General features: G+C 38.8%; 1 protein-coding gene and 1 long non-coding RNA gene across 11 annotated transcripts in view; both read right to left on the reverse strand.

Annotated features, from left to right (window-relative positions):
* Positions 284–19,352, reverse strand: part of TAPT1 (transmembrane anterior posterior transformation 1) — a 66,886-nt gene continuing 47,817 nt past the window's right edge. For 8 of the 10 annotated variants that reach the window (XM_047449754.1, XM_011513816.4, XM_011513812.4 and 5 more), the window contains 6 exons: positions 15,898–16,007; positions 14,449–14,508; positions 13,983–14,051; positions 10,432–10,508; positions 6,412–6,572; positions 284–3,316 (listed from right to left, as the gene is read on the reverse strand). In XM_047449754.1, coding sequence (XP_047305710.1) covers positions 3,087–3,316; positions 6,412–6,572; positions 10,432–10,508; positions 13,983–14,051; positions 14,449–14,508; positions 15,898–16,007 — 707 coding nt within the window. In that variant the 3' untranslated portion in view covers positions 284–3,086. Of the gene's footprint in view, positions 3,317–6,411; positions 6,573–10,431; positions 10,509–13,982; positions 14,052–14,448; positions 14,509–15,897; positions 16,008–19,352 lie in introns of those variants that run through there. The other 2 variants (XM_047449759.1, XM_047449758.1) reach the window with 1 other exon arrangement.
* Positions 16,463–19,348, reverse strand: LOC107986187 (uncharacterized). Its single transcript, XR_001741394.1, has 2 exons — positions 18,759–19,348; positions 16,463–16,733 (listed from the first exon to the last, which is right to left on the reverse strand). It is a non-coding gene; the product is annotated as an uncharacterized LOC107986187 (long non-coding RNA).

Here is a 19,352-nt window from a genome sequence, read left to right on the forward strand (position 1 = left end):
TGGCCCAATAGCGGAATACACCCTTCAACTTACATCCCCTGGGAGAATGAGTCAGCTGGCTACAGGTAACAGCAAGAGGGGCTGAGAAATGCAGTCCCCAGCAAGCAGCACATGCCCAGCTACAACTCTACACAATGGAACAGGAGAATGGATTCTGCTGGACAACTAGCAGTCTTCAGGGAGAAAGTCTTTTCTTATTTCTATTTTATAGAAGCACTGTAAAATTGCTATACAATTATCTTATTTCAAGCTAATCCAATAGGAAAAAAATCAGACTTACACAAACGTTTTAAAGAACTATATTTTAGAGCTGAAATAAGCCTGAGAGATCATTTGGTCAGTGGACACTCTGTGACCAGCAGACATTATTTCATCGACTTGTTCCTATCAGTCTTCCACAGACGAACAGGGACTTATCTTGCTCATTGCTGATCCCACCACTTAGAACAGTTTCTGACACATAGGAAGTGATTAACAAATCTTTGTTGATAAAAAATAGTTGAAAACATGTAACAATGTAGAGATATTACATTATTTTGTAAATTTATCTCCTCCTCTGCTGAGTTACCAGGAGTGGCAGGATATATTTTGATGGCCTAATTATAGCAAGTTTCTTTCACTTTATGTAACATGAATATAAACTCTAAATACTGGCCAAAGTCCACAAGAAAATCTGGACAAGCGTATCAGTGACACTTGGTCTTTACACTTATTCTAAAGGAAAACCTAATAAGGGTCTGGCCTATCCTGTGCCTTCATTAGATTTTTTTAAAACCAAAGCACTGTCTTGAACTTGACTCCCAGATGTGAAAAATATTTTGTGTGACATTCAAAACACTTGTAAAATGCAAATACCTTCATTTGCTGAGAAATATTAAATGGTCTATAATCAAGGCCGAGCCTATTTTTTCCAAAGACAAAATTAAACATTTTGCCACCATTAAGACCAAAGCAATAATTCAAATTAAGATAGCTCTATCACTTGTGAATTACAAATAAATACTTATTATACAGTGGGAAATTCACTCTACCAAATACAATAGTAAATATTAAAATAAATTCAGTGACCTTTTTAAAAAAGATTACAAAACTGAATTTATTGAGATTCACACAAGATGCACTTATAAAATTAGTACTGAATGCCATTAAAACAGAAGAAATGAACATAATCCCGAACTCCCAACAGCATCTGCAAAGGAATGGAAATCTTCTGAAAATGACAGCGCAGTAACAGAATAATTCAAGCGGAACTGAAGATCTATCCAAACCATGTTCCTGCTCTGAAATCAGGGTTGTGTTTGGCAAAGCTTTCCCCAAACTATTCCATTCACGGTGGCATTGTTCCTTTTGTTGGTAAAGGGAGATGGAAAAAATAATTCTAAAATGGGGCTCCATTAAAACACACACAAAGCAATTAAAACCTTTTTCATTTTTAACTTAAAATACTTCCTGGTTTCACAAAGGCATGTCCATACAATTTCCTCAACATTAATCTTCAGATTTCTTTAGTTAATGCAAAACATTAAAATTCACTTACTTTTTTGTATTTCAAATGAACAAGTCAGAACATTAAAGCTTGCTTTATATTTCATCCAAGAAACAGACAAATCACCTAAAAATTGCTTTCTGCCTATGTATGTACGCCTGAAACATTTGCATGAGAGCTAAACTTCAAAATCAAAACATCAAAGGAAATAACAGTTAACAGTACCATCTTCTGGACAGTTCTGACACCAGAAGTTGTAGAAGTTTTACAGAAATGCAAACACGGTTGTCAAGATAAAATGGGGTGGGAAATAACTTCTATGATATAGACCACAAACTAGTAATTAAGCGGAAACACAATCTTCATCTCAAATAAAACCAAAAAGCACCTTTTGGTTGCTGTTCCCAACAGCCATACACAGATGCCTCCCCACACCAACAGCCACCCATACGCCTCAAACACCCCATTTACTTTCACACAAAATCCTCTCCAGACCCAGGCCTGCCCCATCCCCAGCACAGGCCCACCCTGATAGTCACATCCCCACAGACACCCTCCCACAGAACACACACCCTGCCCCAGCACAGGCACACTCGCTGTCGACCCAAACACAAAGACTAATGCATTTGGTAAGCCCAAGCAAGATGATGCTGTCTAACACACTTGGAGCATTTACTTTACAGTTAAAGTTGACAGTTTTGAATTTTGTACATTGACAATTTTTCAGCCTGTTCAACATCGAATCCTTTTAGCTGTAATAATTTATGAAGTAATTAGTTTTAAAGCAAAATCAGTTAAGTATACCTTAAAGTTAACACTGCTCTGCTTCCTTGGTGTAAAAAGTGCCCTTTTGTAAGGAAATTTGTTTTATCCACCAATTAAATGACATACAGCTCACATTTTGCTTTAAAGAGTAAACTGAAAAATTATGAAGGATTTTTCCCAGTAATGCATAGCCTTCATTAATTATTTTTTTAATAAATAAACTAGTTTAGCATTTTTTTTTAACCCTACAAAATGCTACTATTCATCATGTCTTATTTAAGGTAGCCTTTTATTCTGATTAATTAAGATACATCTTTAAGGGTTATTCTGGTGGTAAGAACATTTATCTTGACTTATGTTTAATTTTTTTAATGCTTTGGCAGATGAAGTAACGTTTGAAAACTGTTTGTGAAAATAGTATGAGACTGGAAAGATTACGTCGTGGTAAAAGTTTCACAGTTTTCCAGGTATTTCCTTATACTGAAGAGGCCTTGAGGCAAATTCAACATTCTGGAAGCCCAGACTGACAAAGCAAAACAGATTTTGATGTTGCCTTTGTTGGGTCCTGGAAATGATGCTGCTGCTTGGCCAGGCAGGAGGAAGTTTTATAATCCATCAAGCTTCCCAGACAGTCAAGGCCGGAGGTCGCTCCTGTCCTGTGGTCTGACCCTCAGCCAGGCCATATTACTGGAAGAAAGATACTAAGATTTGCTTGCCAATAATAATTTAAGTTTTTAAATAAATATTTAAGTGCCATGTTTAGCATCTATTTGTCCTGGCAACACAGCACTTGTTGCCCCAGGACCCAGCTTCTTCAGCGCATGAAGCCACAGATTCAGTCAATTCGGTTTCCACAAATTGTGAACCTGTCTATCTCTAACAAATCTTTCTTTGAGGATCTGTGTTTTAATTCAGAATTGTCCTGCGTTATGTCCTTCTCGTCACCATCTGGAGTTGTCAAAAACTGATCAGAATTGCTTGTCACAAGTAATGGTATGATATTTTCCTTTTGATGAATAGGTTGTTTGGTGATGGAGGCAGACAGGTTTTCTTCTGTGGAAAGGCCTGTGATAAAATAGATCCATTAAATTAGAGAAAGACTTTTCTCCAATTATTAATAAATACAAACTTACCAATACAGTGGTGCTGAAAAAAGTGCCCATTATCCATGCTTTCCGATAAAGCAAATGATAACCAAATAGCATGTTGTATAAGCAGCCATCATTTATAATAAAACTTAGAGGCTAATCATCTGTTTGTTCAACTTTATGGAAGGGTACATTACATTGCTCGTATCACACAAACAATGCCATCACCCAACTGCAGAAAGATCACAACTCCTACATTACGGCTCCTCTCTATATAATCAAGACCTAACATGACTGTTGGCAGTCCTGAAACATTAACACTTGCTCCAATACAGAACATCAGGGAGTGGGCCAAGAAGACTTTACTACATTCCACCTGTCATCTGTAGTCACTTCAGCTACAGATGGTTTAGCATCATCATCTCTGGGAAGTCCAAACCAGAGGTTAAAAACAAACAAACAAATAAACAAAACCCCCAATGTTCATTTTAGGCCACAGAGATCCTGGAGCCTGGCTTTGGGGACAGCTGGGCTGGGGCCTGGAGAGACTCATCTGAATCATACATTCAATCCATGTAAGAACAGCTTCTTTGAGGCAAAAAAGACACACCATCAGCTGTACACATTTAAAATGTATAATCTGATGAGTTCTGACATGTGCATACACCTGGTCACACTACTGCCATGATGGAGGTAATGACACATCCAGCTCTCTTGTAGTAATCCCTCTCTCCTGCCCTCACCCCCAGAACCGCTGTCTTTTGTCTCTTTTACAACGTGATGAATCTGATGCAGCTTTGAGAGACAGCCCCCTCCCTCTCTTTAGCTTGACTTCAACACCCTCCTGCATGTTCTCCAGTCTGTGTTCTCCTGACCTCCAAGACATTCTGAGCAAACACTCAGGTCGTCATCCTGAATGTACTTCTCATAACATGACCCCTGAGTCAATGGCCCTGCCCTGCAGTACGTGCTTAAAGCTTTTATCCCCATTAGACTGGATCCTCCTTGAAAGCAAGAGTGACGCTTACTAACTTTTTGTTTTTATATTTTTTGTAGAGATGGGACTCACTAGGTTGCCCAGGCTGGTCTCGAACTCCTGGGCTCAAGCGCTGCTTCTGCCTTAGCCTCCCAAAGTGCTGGGATTATTAAAGGCATGTGCCACTATGCCTAGCCTAACTTCTTAACTAATATGCGTAACAAGAGAACACGTACAGGCCCCACTATGAATTACCTAGTTGGTTGAAAAAAATGCAATCCTTATTACTAATAGTGTTCTTATAATGAAAAAAATAATTTCCCAGTGATTATACACATTGTTATTTTACTTTATTTTCGCTTCCGGTTAAGTACAGATGATGAGCACAGACCCACTTTCAGGTAGGACTCCAGTCCAGCCCAACTCTCCTCTCCTCCCTCTTTCTGAAGCACACTCCACACTTGCCATATTGAGCTGCTAGTTCTCCAGACGCTTTTCCAGGTCTCCATGATCTAACTCATGCTGGCCCTTCTGGAGTGCCCTTTCCACCAGTCTGCCCTGGGCCAGTTTCATCCTTCAAGCTTTTAGTTTAGAAGAACCCCCCTCTCCTGTCCCTCCAAACCCTCTGCTCACCTATTTGGACCCCTGTAGTTACATGAGGCCTTGAAGGACATCCTTTATTTTTCTCTCTTCAGCATCTCCTCTATGACCTTGCACACAGTTATTCCACACATTTAAAAACACATCATTTAGGCCAGGCATGGTGGCTCATGCCTGTAATCCCAGCACTTTGGGAGGCCGAGGCAGGCGGATCACGAGGTCAGGAGATCGAGACCATCCTGGCTAACATGGTGAAACCCCGTCTCTACTAAAAATACAAAAAATTAGCTGGGCGTGGTGGTGGGCGCCTGTAGTCCCAGCTACTCGAGAGGCCGAGGCAGGAGAATGCCGTGAACCTGGGAGGCGAAGCTTGCAGTGAGCCGAGATCACGCCACTGCACTCCAGCCTGGGCGACGGAGCAAAACTCCGTCTCAAAAAAAAAAAAAAAAATACATCATTTAAACTAAAAGTTATATGAACAAATACCTCTGTGAACAGGGAACTGCCACCTAACAACAAAAATTAAGTCAACGTCCCAGTTCTTCCTCCAAATCTTCCAACCCAGAAACCCTGGAATCATCCTGAACTCACCTATTCTTCTCACACTGCATAACTTCCTCACCAGCAAATACTTCACGCAAACCTCCCAGGTCTATCCAGAACCTGGCCAGGTCTCCCTGCTCACACCACCTACCCTGCTCCTGGCCAGATAGCTGCCTCTCTGGTCCCTACCTCTGGGCCCACCCCTCTGGAGTTTATTTTCCACAAAGCTTGAGAATGATCCTTTTAAAATGTCAGCTGCACCATGCCACTGCTCCGCTCAAAGCCCCGCAACAGCCCCCTTCCACCTGGAAGGTTCTCATAACAGCCTGCAGCTCTCCATGGTCCCCAAGACCCCCTCTCCAGTCCTTTTCCCTGGGATGGGCCACTGCAGCCATCTGGCTTTTAATGTCCTTTGATGCGCCAAGCATCTTCCTGCCTTGGTGCCTTTGCTGGGCCTGCCGGGCCTCTGCCTGGGAGCTGCTCCTGGAAGGCTGGATGTGCTGTCTCGGGCTCCAGGACTCTGTGCAGTGCCATCTCCTCACACTTGGGGGAGGGCCCAACTCCCTGTTGTACTTCCCTTTCCCCGTCCTGCTTTTGTTTTCTCTGCAGTTCCCCGTCACTTGACATAGTGCATATTTATTTCTCTCTACCCCTCTTCCCGACAATCTAGAACAAGCTCCATGGGAGCAGAGAATTGCCTTTCCACCCCACTGCTGTATCCACTGGAGCTGATGTGTCGCAGATGCTCAATGTTGAACAGCGAATGAGTAAATGGAAAAACTCAGAACACTGGGCCAGGTATATATGGGATGAAATCTAAAACACAACCATTAAAAGACCCAAAAATCTATGCAAAGGGAAACCAATCTTTAAAGCGTTGCTTAACATTGATCAAACTGTGATTTAACTCTTTGAAAATGATCCAGGGAAGTGAAGAAAGGGACCAAACCTACCTTGAGAGGGTTTACATTTGTTCTGTGATTTACTGGACGGCTTGCCTGGAGTGCAGGTTGCGGGAGGATTCGACAGCTTCTCTTCCATTTTGGCTTCCTTCACATACTGGCACGATTTCCCCAACAGCACGATGCTATTAAGTACTTTCAGGGATATCAACCTAAAAACAGAAACAAAACAAACCACATCCGTTGGAATTCATCTAAATCCCTGTGAATGCCATCTACTACCATGGCTAAGGAGAAGGTGGGGGGGCATGGGACGGTGACAGATTAGGGATTTAGAGGAACTTACACAAATCTTGAGTTTTCTGAGGCCTCCTTGTCACAAAGAAAAACTTCGGAATTCCTTAGTTCTCTTTTTTTTTTTTTTTTTTTTTGAGACAGAGTCTCACTCTGTCACCCAGGCTGGAGTGCAGTGGCACAATCTTGGCTCACTGCAACCTCCGCCTCCTGGGTTCATGCAATTCTTGGCCTCAGCCTCCCAAGTAGCTGGGATTACAGGCATCCGCCACCACCCCCGGCTATTTTTGTATTTTTAGTAGAGACAGGGTTTCACCATGTTGGCCAGGATGGTCTCAAACTCCTGACCTTGTGATCCACCTGCCTCGGCCTCCCAAAGTGCTGGGATTACAGGTGTGAGCCACCATGCCTGGCCTCCTTAGTTCTCTTGTAAGAAATTATACCATTTAGAAATTTTTCCTGGTATTAAATATTATAACATTTATTCTTTTATTACACAACAAATACATTTAGCACATGCAGTTGAACAAAAAAGAACATAATAAAATTACATGATTCCACACCCTTATGATAATCACTGTGACATTTAGTATGTTATCTTTCCGTCGCTTTCTCTGAGTACACCTCTATTTGTACTTTCTTGCTGTATAGAAATGGTCTATTTTACAAGGCAGTAGGCGAGTGGAGTCAGGAGGCAGAGCATGGACTCTGGGGTGAAGTGTGTCTGTGTGGAGTCCTGAGTCCACTGCTTAGAACCTGTGTGCACCTGGGCAAGCTACTTAATCAGCTAATCTGGAAAGGAGAGCAACAGGTAAGGTGCTTAGAGCAGTGCTTGGCACACAGAAATGGCAAGCAATTTTGTTATTATTGTTGTTATTTATATAACACTGTATCATGAATTTGTTCCATATCAGTTAATGTTCCTCAGTGACATTATTTTAAATGGCCTTATAACATCACTATATGGGTTATCAAATAACAAAGCCCCAAACAACTCCTATTTCTGGATATTTAGATTATTTTCAATATTTTGCTTCTACTAAAAAGTTTCTGATTAAGAAAACACATTAAATCTGTATTTCCTTAGGATACCTAGATACCTATGACTACAGAAATAAAATTTCTGGGTCAAAGAATATGAATATTTTAAGGCATTCAATACAAATCTGGAAAAAAGTATGGGAAGAAAAAAGTCTCACATTAACCTCAATGCCAGTTTTATAACCAGTGAAGAAGTTGGTTTTCTTTTTTTTTTTAAGAAGCAGTCTTGCATTGTCGCCCAGGCTGTGGTGCAGTGGCATGATCATCGCTCACTGCAGCCTTGAACTCCTGGGCTTAAGCAATCTCCCACCTCAGCCTCCTGCACAGCTGGGACCACAGGCGTATGCCACCACGCCCAGCTAATTTTCTTTTTTGTAGAGATGGGGTCTTGCTATGTTGCCCAGGCTGGTCTCAAACTCTTGGGCTCAAGCAATCCTCCCACCCAGCCTGCCAAAGTCCTGGGGCTACAGGCATGAGCCACCATGCCATCTTCTGCTCAGCTCCTTTCGTAGTCTCCCGTCCCCGGGCCCTCCTCCCCCATGGCTGCTCATGGACTACTGCAGCTGCCTGGTGCCTGCTGTTCCTCCATCAGGCCTGTGTCCCCATGCCCTTCTGCTGAGCCTACGCTCTTCCCAGGTGGCTGCACAGCTCCCTTCCTTACTGAAACACCAGCTCACCAGAGAGGCCTGCCCTGGCCACCCTCTAAGGCAGCTGTATCTGCCTCTCCCATTCATCTCCTCATACTACTGTGCTTTTCTTCCTAATGATTCCTACCAACTGTCAATAGAGTGACTTGTTTTTCTAGTTGTTGTCTATTTGTTGTTGGGAATTTCTGTGACATCAAGGCAGGGCACTTGTCTGGCTTCTTTTTGGCCAAGCCCTAGACCAGCCCAGGCCCAGGCCCTGCTGCTAAGCAGCTATTCCCTGAGGGGCACTGGGCAGAGAGCAGTAACGGCAGAGGCTGGCAAGTCCTCCCACCTTAGCTGGCAAGAGTGAGTCTGGAGGGAAAGAGGAGAAACCGGGTGTGGTGGGGGAAAGTTCAGCATTGTATGTCAAAAAGCCCAACTGAATTCTGATTTTATTTTTTTAACTGAAGACACATTCCTGGGTTTGGTGTAGTTAATTGATAAAGAAGGCATGGACAAGGTAGTTTTGAGAAAGCTTCTGAAGGAGAAGAGGATAATTTAGGAATCATCCTGAGATGAGGATTAGAGTAGGTGAATAAAGTAGAAAGGTGAGTAAGCAGATCTGGCTGGCTGCACTATCCAGGTGGAGAAGTGAGGCGACATGGGAGGCTGGGGCACAGGTGCCCTGAATTCTAAGTAACTCAAGATTAAAGCACATACCCCTGGATGAACTATGCACAGGCAAGTGTAACTAAACAAAGGTTTTCAGATGTAGCATATACATGCTTCATTTCCTGATTATTATGTAAAAAACACTAGAATAATTAGATTGTCTAACAATTATTCCCATTGAGATTACAGCAACACCACTTCGTAAACACAGCACAATGTTAAAAACATTGAGGGGCGGTGTGAGAATCTACATTAGAAAAGGAAGGTCTTAATGTTTTTTAATGTCAAAAAATGAAAAGAGTTACATTAATGTAGTAAACCATTTACATACTCATTCAAACAAACAACAGGCAATGCTGTACAGTGTGATCAGAACCTCCTCCTCCTCTGTGAAACACTGAAATTAGCCACATGACCTACACACAGCTCTGCAGGACAAGGGCCTGAGCCCGCTACTGCAGGAGCTGGGAAGCAGGCTCACGACTCAGGATACTTGGTGGAGAGGTGGAAAGTGCAGACAGTAAGTGACTATTCTCATGCTACTTCAACAGAAGCTTCCTGAGCACGTGCTAGGTAGTGTGCTAAGCCCTGGGCAGGAAACAATGTGAAAAACACACTAAAAATACCATGAAACTGGAACTCTAAGCCAATCCACCGCTCAAGTTGTGACTGCTATGCTTACCCTCCAACCTTTTTCCTCTGGAGGGATTCAAGTTCGAACCCTCTCAGACCACCCCTCCCTGAGTGAAGCTCCTGATGCACACCACCTAGGCGAGGGTGGAACAGGTTTCCCGTTTCATTTTTCAGTAAGTTAATTGACTGCCAGGTCTGGGTACTTTATCATCGTTCACTTCTTGAGAAAAGTAACAATGGCAAAATCATCATTTTACATTGTTATTTTCTTCATACCATTTATTTCTATCTTAATTAGTTGTTAATTTACTGTATGTCTCCCCCAACCAAAATGTAAGATCATGAGACCAACAAACCTGCAGATGGATTCCACTGGTCACAGACAGAAAACCTAAGCTTGTGCATTACATTTGGGTTTACGTGATGCCTGCCTACAGTGTGCTGAACAATTCAATGTGGCAAACATATTGGAGGGTCAAAGATGTTTTTAAATATGAAAACATGTCTGCAATGGCAGTCTTTTATTCATCAAAAAAATGTGAGTGAAACCTAAATCTTAAGCAAAAAGGGCTTTAAGATTTTGCTAAAAATTAAAATAAAATCTAAAGTACTATTAATACTACTACCAAATAGCAGCGTAGTTAATCTAACTGAGTCACAAATAAATACACTTGGAGGTATAGCTGTTGAATGGAAACCCCTGGCATAGACTGGGAGTAGTATGATTGGGATGCTACTAACTTCCATTACATCTTGCATTTATGCTTTACTGTATAGCCAAAAACATATTCAAGAATAATCTTACCCAAAATAGAAGAGTATGACACAGGCATAAGACAGGATTCCTTGCACTTTAATTGAGCTTGTTACAACTCTGATGAGCTAGCCAGAAACAAACCAAAACAACAAAAACACACAAACAGAACACACAACCACAGAGTTATTAGTTAATACTTAAAAAGATTTCTCCATGCTGACTTTAACATTTTAGGCATATATCTATGGCCTTTGTCTAAAAATCCAAGAAGGCAGATTTGTTGATTTGTATCAAAATCTGCCTGCTTGTGAAACCTTCTGTGGTACATTTGGATTGGTTCAAGCAAATCTGGGATGCCTGTGGCTAGTGCAACAGTTTGACTCCTGTGGACTCTCTAAGTTCGGCCCTATACTTAGGTCATGAATGTCACACTTATACCTCACAGGGATGCAAAGCAGCTGATTTTTATAAAATATTATTCTGCAAAGTACAAATGATTTCATCTTGCTACACGTGTCCACACCAAAGCTAGAATTATTTGGTGGGTGTTTCCTTATTCCTGCTTTTTTTGCCCTCCGTCCTTTCTTCTTTGACTCTTTTATGAACCCCCAGTAACTCACAGGGAACACAGGAAAAATGGAACCTTAAAAGTTTTGTATTTAGAAAAACTAAACACTATTAAAAAATTAATTAAACATTGAAACAGTTCTCTCTTTTGGATACAGTTAACTATCCATTTTCTTACTTCTTTCACAGAAATAAAGGAATAAAAGCATTATCCTTGGAAGTCTGCTGAATAAATCTGGTGGAATCAGTTAAAGTAAAATGTCCACATGTTACAAGTGCTGCTATGCCCATATGTTAAAAGAGAAATAGAGAATTAGGGAGAAGTCGTCTTATCTAGTAATGTCAAGTTATCCAAAGTCTATTAGGGTATCTTAAATAAACATCATAATGGTACACATTTAAAAAGACATTTAAAAATGCTTTTAATAAAAGAACAATTGGGAAGAGCTGGGGCAATGGCTTGTCATATGTTCAATAAACTCTCACTATGAGAAAAGTGACAATGGAAGCCCTCAACCGTGTCACAGTCTCTACAGGGTAATGTCTACTGTATAGGCAATTGTGACTGAAGTTAACATGACTCCAGGATTTTATTCATTAATATGAAAGGCAAACCAATGATCACATTTAAGGCTTAAATAACTATACTTTCACCTAGCATATTATCAGTTAACTTTTACTCAGTCTAATTTCCATGAGACTTTAATACACATTTTTTCTTCCTTTTTTCGGATATAAAATCATTTTACGACCCAATGTAACGCTTAGAAGAAAAAATTGCCATCCTTGTGCCTTAATTAAAGAATTAACTTGTCACAGAGGCCTCGATGTATTTCTCAAGGCTCCTGGATGCCCGCCAAAGCTGTGGCACACGACGAAGCTCTGTGAGCAAAGTGCTATGGAAGGAAGCCCACTAGATCTCTGCCTAACTATATGACCCCCTTTCAGCACACTGCAGGTGTTCCAAAAGTGTTTTGTCAATTATTAATTATTCATAAATATTTTGGTATAACAGCCATAAAAACTCATTTAAAGAATAAAACAAGGATTGAAGAAAAATTTTTAAATACTATTTCAAAAAAAGTTCATACTATGAGTTTTCTGACAAGTTACTAGACAAATAAGTCAATTATTATTTGGCAAAGCAGGATCATATTTAAATCCAACCATCTGACCAATCCTTACAAAAAAAAAAAAATTCAGGCCTTGTAGGTTTATCCTTATATTTGTATGTTTCATATTTCTAGTTGTAGTAAACAAATGCGGAAATATTTAATATTCTATTTTATCAATCTCTTAAGCCTTTAACAAACAATTTTATTATTTAGAAGCCTCCATTTTTCCAAAATTCTAGGAGTTCCTTTTCCGAAGCAAAAGAAAGCTATATTATGATGTAATAAGCAAGCTATTAATATAATTAAAAATGTTTAGGGATGTGGTTGTCTGTAAAGGCACACTGAAATTTAAATAGCATTAAGCCTATTAATCATCTGTCATCTAAAAAAAAGTCAAGGAAGCTGGTCTAAAACATAGCTGGTATGACCTTCACTTTCTTTACACATTTCTTAGCTGATTTGCATGAGACTGCAGCTATAGAAGTCTAGATATCCTTTCGCAAAAAAGACAGTTGCATTTGTTTGTTTTGTTTTGTTTTTGTTGTTTTTTTTTTTGAGATGGAGTGTTGCTCTTGTTGCCTAGGCTGGAGGGCAGTGACGCGATCTCGGCTTACTGCAACCTTCCCTCCCAGGTTCAAGTGATTCTCCTGCCTCAGCCTCCTAAGTAGCTGAAATTACAGGCGCCTGCCACCACGCCTGACTAATTTTTGTATTTTTAGTAGAGATGGGGTTTCACCAAGTTAGCCAGGCTGGTTTCAAACTCCTGACCTCAGGTGATCCACCTGCCTTAGCTTCCCAAAGTGCTGGGATTACAGGTGTGAGCCACTGTGCCCAGCTGGTTGCATCTGTTTTGATGTTAGAATCGGTAGTCAAGAAAGAACATAATCAAATACAAGTGCAGCCAGCAAATTTTTTTTTCTTGCCTCAGCCTCCTGAGTAGCTAGGACTACAGGTGCATGCCACTAAGCCAGGCTAAACAAATCGTCTTAATTAACATTATTATAGCCTAACCTGGCTAGAAACTATTTGCAAGCCTGTTGTGGGCAATTCATTAAAATATTCAAAGTTGATGACTTGTTGAGGGTTGATTTAGTAAGTTTCAGTAGTGCTTTTGAAAAAAATACATATTTCTTTTTATTCTTTCTTTTTTGAGATGGAGTCTTGCTCTTTCGCCCAGGCTGGAGTGCAGTGGCACGATCTCGGCTCACTGCAAGCTCCACCTCCCAGGTTCACGCCATTCTCCTGCCTCAGCCTCCCGAGTAAAAAAAAAATACATACTTCTTGGGTATAAAAGCAGGAATTTTCATTGCAAAAAGTTTGGACAATTTTTAAAAAGTATTAATTACCACTGATAGAGAATATGTCTTCATTTGGGCATACCATAATTTTTTAACCTATTTCGTTTGTTTCTAACTTTTTATTATTACAAATGTCACTGAAATGCAAAGCCATGCCCATAAATCATTGTGTGTCTTTTATAACTATTTCCTTAGGATAATTCCTAGAAATGAAATGACTGAATTAAAGCATGATACTGTCACATTGCCTTGTAGAAACACTGGATTAATTTATACTTCCACCAATATGTGTTGCAGTGGCCACGTTAATGACCATGCTCAGATATTTCCATTAAAAAATGTTTTTTACTAAATGAATAAGCAAAAAAGAGTATTCTCATTGTTAGGAAAGCCATTTACATAAAACAGCTAAGCGTCACTCATCTATTGGATGGCTCAACCAATAGATATTTGGATATATAAGCTACTGCTATAATTTAAAACAAAATTTTCTTCCAAGTTATTTACCCTTAATTTTTATATCAAGTCCTTTTGAAACAATCATATTAATAATCCATTTATTAATATTCTATAATGATGGCTACTTTGTTACAAAAAACATTAAAAAGTATGCACTTACTAAAACAGCTAGTGGGAGAGGAATAAAGCCCATCCTCCGTGCTACAGAGTCACTGTAATCAGTGTATGCCTGAACAGAGAAAGAAGCAAAAGATTCAGATTTATGGGATTTAAACAGCATTTTAAAAGTACTATTCACTTATTACCAGCAAATGTTCTAAACAGGTGAGGCTATGGAGCAAGAACAGAACCTGGCACTTATAAAATGATGTGGAAATCCAAATGTTCACAAGTCTTAAATACAAAGTTGAATAACTTAAAATGCTGCAAAGAGCATATACTACTTAATGTTAAGTATTACTATTATTCTTAATTTGTAAATGTTTATTTAGTGTTGAGAATAGAGATCAGTAGGCAGTTTATGTAGCTTTCCTTTAGTTAATATTTCATGCTAAATTAATCATTATTCAGTTAATTTCAGACTATGCCTTTGTTAATTTCAGACTACGCCCTTGATAAATGCTCACATTTTTCTGTCGGCTGCTAACAAGGTCAAAAGCAAGACTGGCTCTATATTCACTGTAGACCTAAAAACAAACAAGAATGAAATATCAAGTAATACAGTAAAAATATATAATGTGGAAAGACTGCAACTTTATTAATAAAAACATTTAATAATTAACCAGGAACAAGTGCTAATAACCAAGCTGACATCTGGGCATAATTTCTTATTTGTTTTCCTACAGTAAAGGTAAAATGTAACCTCAATTCCACCGAACTGTTAACATTCATAGATCTTCTAAAGGTTTTTCTTTAAAGGGGAATAAATATCCAACGACTATGATCCTGAGAGTTTAGAATTTGGGGAAAAGTGACTATTTTAAGTAGTGTAATGTATATAAAATAATTTTGAAATTTTAAATTAAATGAATAGTTTAAAAAAATTACTGTTTGTCTAACCATAATAATGCCTTCTGAGAAAAATGAATGCTGAAAAAGACATAAAACTAAGTTAGGGAACATAGTAAATATGAAGGCACTTGTGAATGATCATTACCACTAAAAAGTGCACAAGTGTCTCAATCAAGCCTATTAATTTTGACTTCAGATGCTAAATAAATGATCCTATGAAAAGGGAATCATTCTGCATTAAGAAAGCTGAGAAAGTAAATGGTGAAATTACTTTATCAATGCTTTACAAAAAAGTACAAAACTGTATTTACTTTAAGTATATTAAAACATTCAGAAACTCATAATTGAATCACAGTTGTTGCAACTGCATTTTATTTTAAATAATTGCCTTTTGAAACAAAACAAATATTACTGTGAGACTGTTATTAAAAGTACTACCCAGTAAAATCTAGAAAACTGTGGAACTATTATTTATTTTGGGACTGAGACAGGAATGAGAACTACATTAGGAAACTTTCTTATGTTTTATATGCAATAAATCTATAGCCACATATCTATTTCTAGAAATTATCCAGAACATCTGGTTAGAACATAAAACAAATTTCTCAAAGTTTAAACACTTTCACCAGAAAAATGTAGGCTCTCGTCTTCTAAAACTTAGCAGGAACCTATTCATAATCGTGGAAAAAAATCAACTTTTAAATATAAAATATTTTAAAAACCTAGCCAGAGAGAAAAATTTTGATGGTCTAAGTTTTAAAATAGAAACAATGTGATTTTAAAGTCTTTAAACAGATTATGACAGTGTTAACTGATCAGAATGATTTTGAGTTAGTGACACTGTGACTTCGACTACTGGCTGGTCTATACTTCTACCCCAAGAATATGGAATTATCATTGCCTAATATTAAAACAGAATACTTTCAATAGTGTAATAATTTTTAGAAACTTAAAATTACAATTCTGACCTTAAAGTATTAACAAACTCCTATTATTCTACAACTTTTAAAAATTAAGCAACAGAAGTAAACTTTAAACATTGAAGTGCATATCAAAATACATACATCTGCAGTAATGTCATTGAATTTAGTAATAAAGGCATGTTTTACAATATCCACGGCAATTTCTGATGCAATTACCATACAGACATCTGGAAACAACACCCAGAGATGATCTGTAAATAGAAAAAAGAAAAACAACGAAATATCTTAATATGAACAGAATCCATATCACAGGCTACCAGAGAAATATGAAATCTCTAGAACAAAACTGTAGTATTTTCAGTAAATGATGAACTAGCATTCAATTATAACCTTTATCAAAAGAGCTATACTGTATCAAGTTAAAGGATACTTCATTCAACAAACGTTTACTCAGGCCCGGCGCAGTGGCTCACGCCTGTAATCCCAGCATTTTGGATCACCTGAGATCAGGAGTTTGAGACCAGCCTGGCCAAAATGGTGAAACCCTGTCTCTACTAAAAATACAAAAATTAGCCAGGCATAGTGGCGTGCACCTGTATTCCCGGCTACCTGGGAGGCTGAGGTAGGAGAATTGCTTGAATCCAGGAGGTGGAGGTTGCAGTGAGCTGAGATCGCGCCACTGCACTGCAGCCTGGGCGAAAGAGCAAGACTCCGTCTCAAACAACAACAACAAAAACCCAAATATTTATTCAGTACTTTCTAAGTGCCAAGAACTGCTTTACATGTGGGCTCCAGTGGTTTAGCAGAGAGCCTCTGCCTTCACGAAGCCTACGTGCTGACATGCTGATGGGATGACTAGATTAAGCAGGTTCCTTAGAAAATCCTTTAATTCCATAGCTGCCTCAATGTGACAGTAAATAGCTAGAAGAGATGTGCTGTAGTCTTTGTAGATGAGCAGTCTTCTCCTTCTTTGATCACTACAATGTAAAGATATTAATCAATCCTTTGTTTCACTGTCATACAGATGTTAGCCTGATATATTTGCTCACCATTATGACATTTAAATGTCTATTCAAATAAGACCTAGTGATAGATAGATAAGTAGGGTAACCATAGTTTACAATAATCTACTGTGTATTTCAAAATAGGTAGAAGAGAAGAATTTGACTGGTTCTAACAAAAAGACAAATATTTAAGGTAATGGATATCCCAAGTACACTGATTTGATCTTCACAAATTATATGAATACATTAAATTATCACTTGCACACCCAAACTATGCAAATTATGCATCAATAAAAAAATTTTTTTAATGCCAATTCAGTACCAGGTACCTGATGAAACACACCTACAGACAACCTCCTAAGAACTTGGAAAAGAATGTAAGAGTGGGACACAGCAAGAAAAAGATAGGGAGAAATGCTGACAAGGACCCACAGCAACTCAAGACTCAGGTAGCCGGAAGGTGGGATGGAGATGACACAGCTGGGCTATCCCGGCTGACAGTGTAGACAGCTTCTGTGAGTCTGGCATCACATCAGGTTTTGGAAATCAAGGGACCTCTTTCGCCGATAAGCTCTGCTACTAACTGCTATATGACCTTGGACAAGTTTTTTTTTTAATCCACATCACTAGCAAAGGGCAAGTTTCTTAATGAGCTAAATTCCAGCTTCCTCAACCACAAGGTTAAGGATAGTAAGTGTCTACACTTAATTATTATGAGAACTAAATGAGATAATGGTGCACAGCAATGTGCCTGGCATACAAAATGGCTAGTGCTGTTTTTATGTTCCTCATGACCCTGAGAACTTAGAGCAACCTTCCATAAATGGCACTTTGTTGGTTTTTTTTTTTAAGAAATTTTAATAAACCTAAAAAAAGAGTGAAAACCTAAAACAAGAGTGAAAATGGTGAATTCATCAATAAAAGCAAGTGCTCCATTTATCATATTATCTGCCATAGTACTAACAAAGGAGGCAAGATAATTTATTAAAAGTCACAGTATAAATGAGAATATGACTTCAAATATCCAGCTGTCTAGGAGGCATAAAGACTATTTGTCTTTTGGTTTAACCACTCAGCTTTGGGAATTGCTGATCTTACATGTACTCTACCGGAACCAGTGACACATACCCCCTCTGCCCTTCATGGACACCCTGTTAGGTGACTTAGTTATAAAGAAATATACCACCATTCACTAAAACAAATTTGGGTACACAAAGAATCTAGCTGTGTGTGTGGAGGAAGAGGCTTTTCCACCACAAGCCAGGTAGCCTGCTCGAGCTGCTGTGAGATGTCATTTAATCTTATGGTTTCTCTATGAAAAAAACTTCTGAAAATGTATCTCCAAGACCGTATCTCTCATTTTATATGTTTTTGATTTTTCACAGTTACTTGAAAATTACCAATGAATTAAAATAAATTAAGAAGTTAATAAATGCCTATAACATATATAATACTGGGAGTAATAAATGAAATCCAAAACATGGTTGCATCCTTTAAGAATGAGATTCCAACAAAAACGTCAGACATTCAAACAAAAACTCTAAATTACTTGAGATACCTGAGAAATTGATCATTTCCCACTTAGCTCACTTAGCATTATAATTACCCACTTCCCCTTAATTAGCCTGTTAAGTCCTACAAATGTCGTAGTATTTTTTACATTGCCACAGTGCCTGTCCTTGTGCCTAGAAACTAGCATATGCTCAGTGAATGTCTGCTAACTGAATGGATAATGAAAATTCATGGAGTCTTGACAATTTCCTGTCAGCCTGAATTCAGAGACGCACCTAAGTAGCAAAATTTCCACCTTACTTTATATTTAATTTATCCCTATTTAAAATGCTAATCAATGGGTAAAAGATAATGTTAGGGAAGAGCAAAGGTTCTCCTGGTTAACCCCTAAGATGAAAACAATCTTTCTGGATTTAGGTAACTAAAGTACACTACAGTTAAAAACCGAAAGGCTCAGAGCTGCCAGGCATAACAGGGCGCACTCACCTACTGAGTGTACAGCTCCAGAGACACTGAGGAGTTTATGGAAAATGACAGCATCCCACTACACCACAGAAAACATACCCAATCCATTCTACTGAAACAGGTACAGTCATGTGTCGCTCAGCAACAGGGATACATTCTGAGAAATGTGTTGCTAGCCAATTTTGTCACTGTGTTAACATCATAGAGGGTACTTACACAAACCTAGATGGTATAACCACACACCCAGACTATATGGTATAACCTATTGCTCCTAGGCTACAAAACCTGTACAGCACGTTACCATACTGAATACTGCAGGCAAACTGTGACACAATGGTAAGTGTATCTAAACATGTCTAAACACAGAAAAGGACACTAGGAGACCAGGTGACAGGAATTTTTCAGGTCCATTAGAATCTTATGGGACCACCATCGTATATGTGGTCTATTGTTGACTGAAGGTCATTAAGTGACAGATGATTGTTTCACCAATACCCAAACAGTAAAACAGCCAAAGTCTTTTGGAGTTTTCTGCAATATTCATTTTATTCCATGTAAAAGAATGATTTTGGCTTAGAAGTAAAATTATAAGACACTGTTTTGTTAAGAGTGAGT

Source organism: Homo sapiens, chromosome 4 (genome assembly GCF_000001405.40).
Source record: "Homo sapiens chromosome 4, GRCh38.p14 Primary Assembly".
In the NCBI taxonomy this organism is placed as follows: domain Eukaryota; kingdom Metazoa; phylum Chordata; class Mammalia; order Primates; family Hominidae; genus Homo; species Homo sapiens.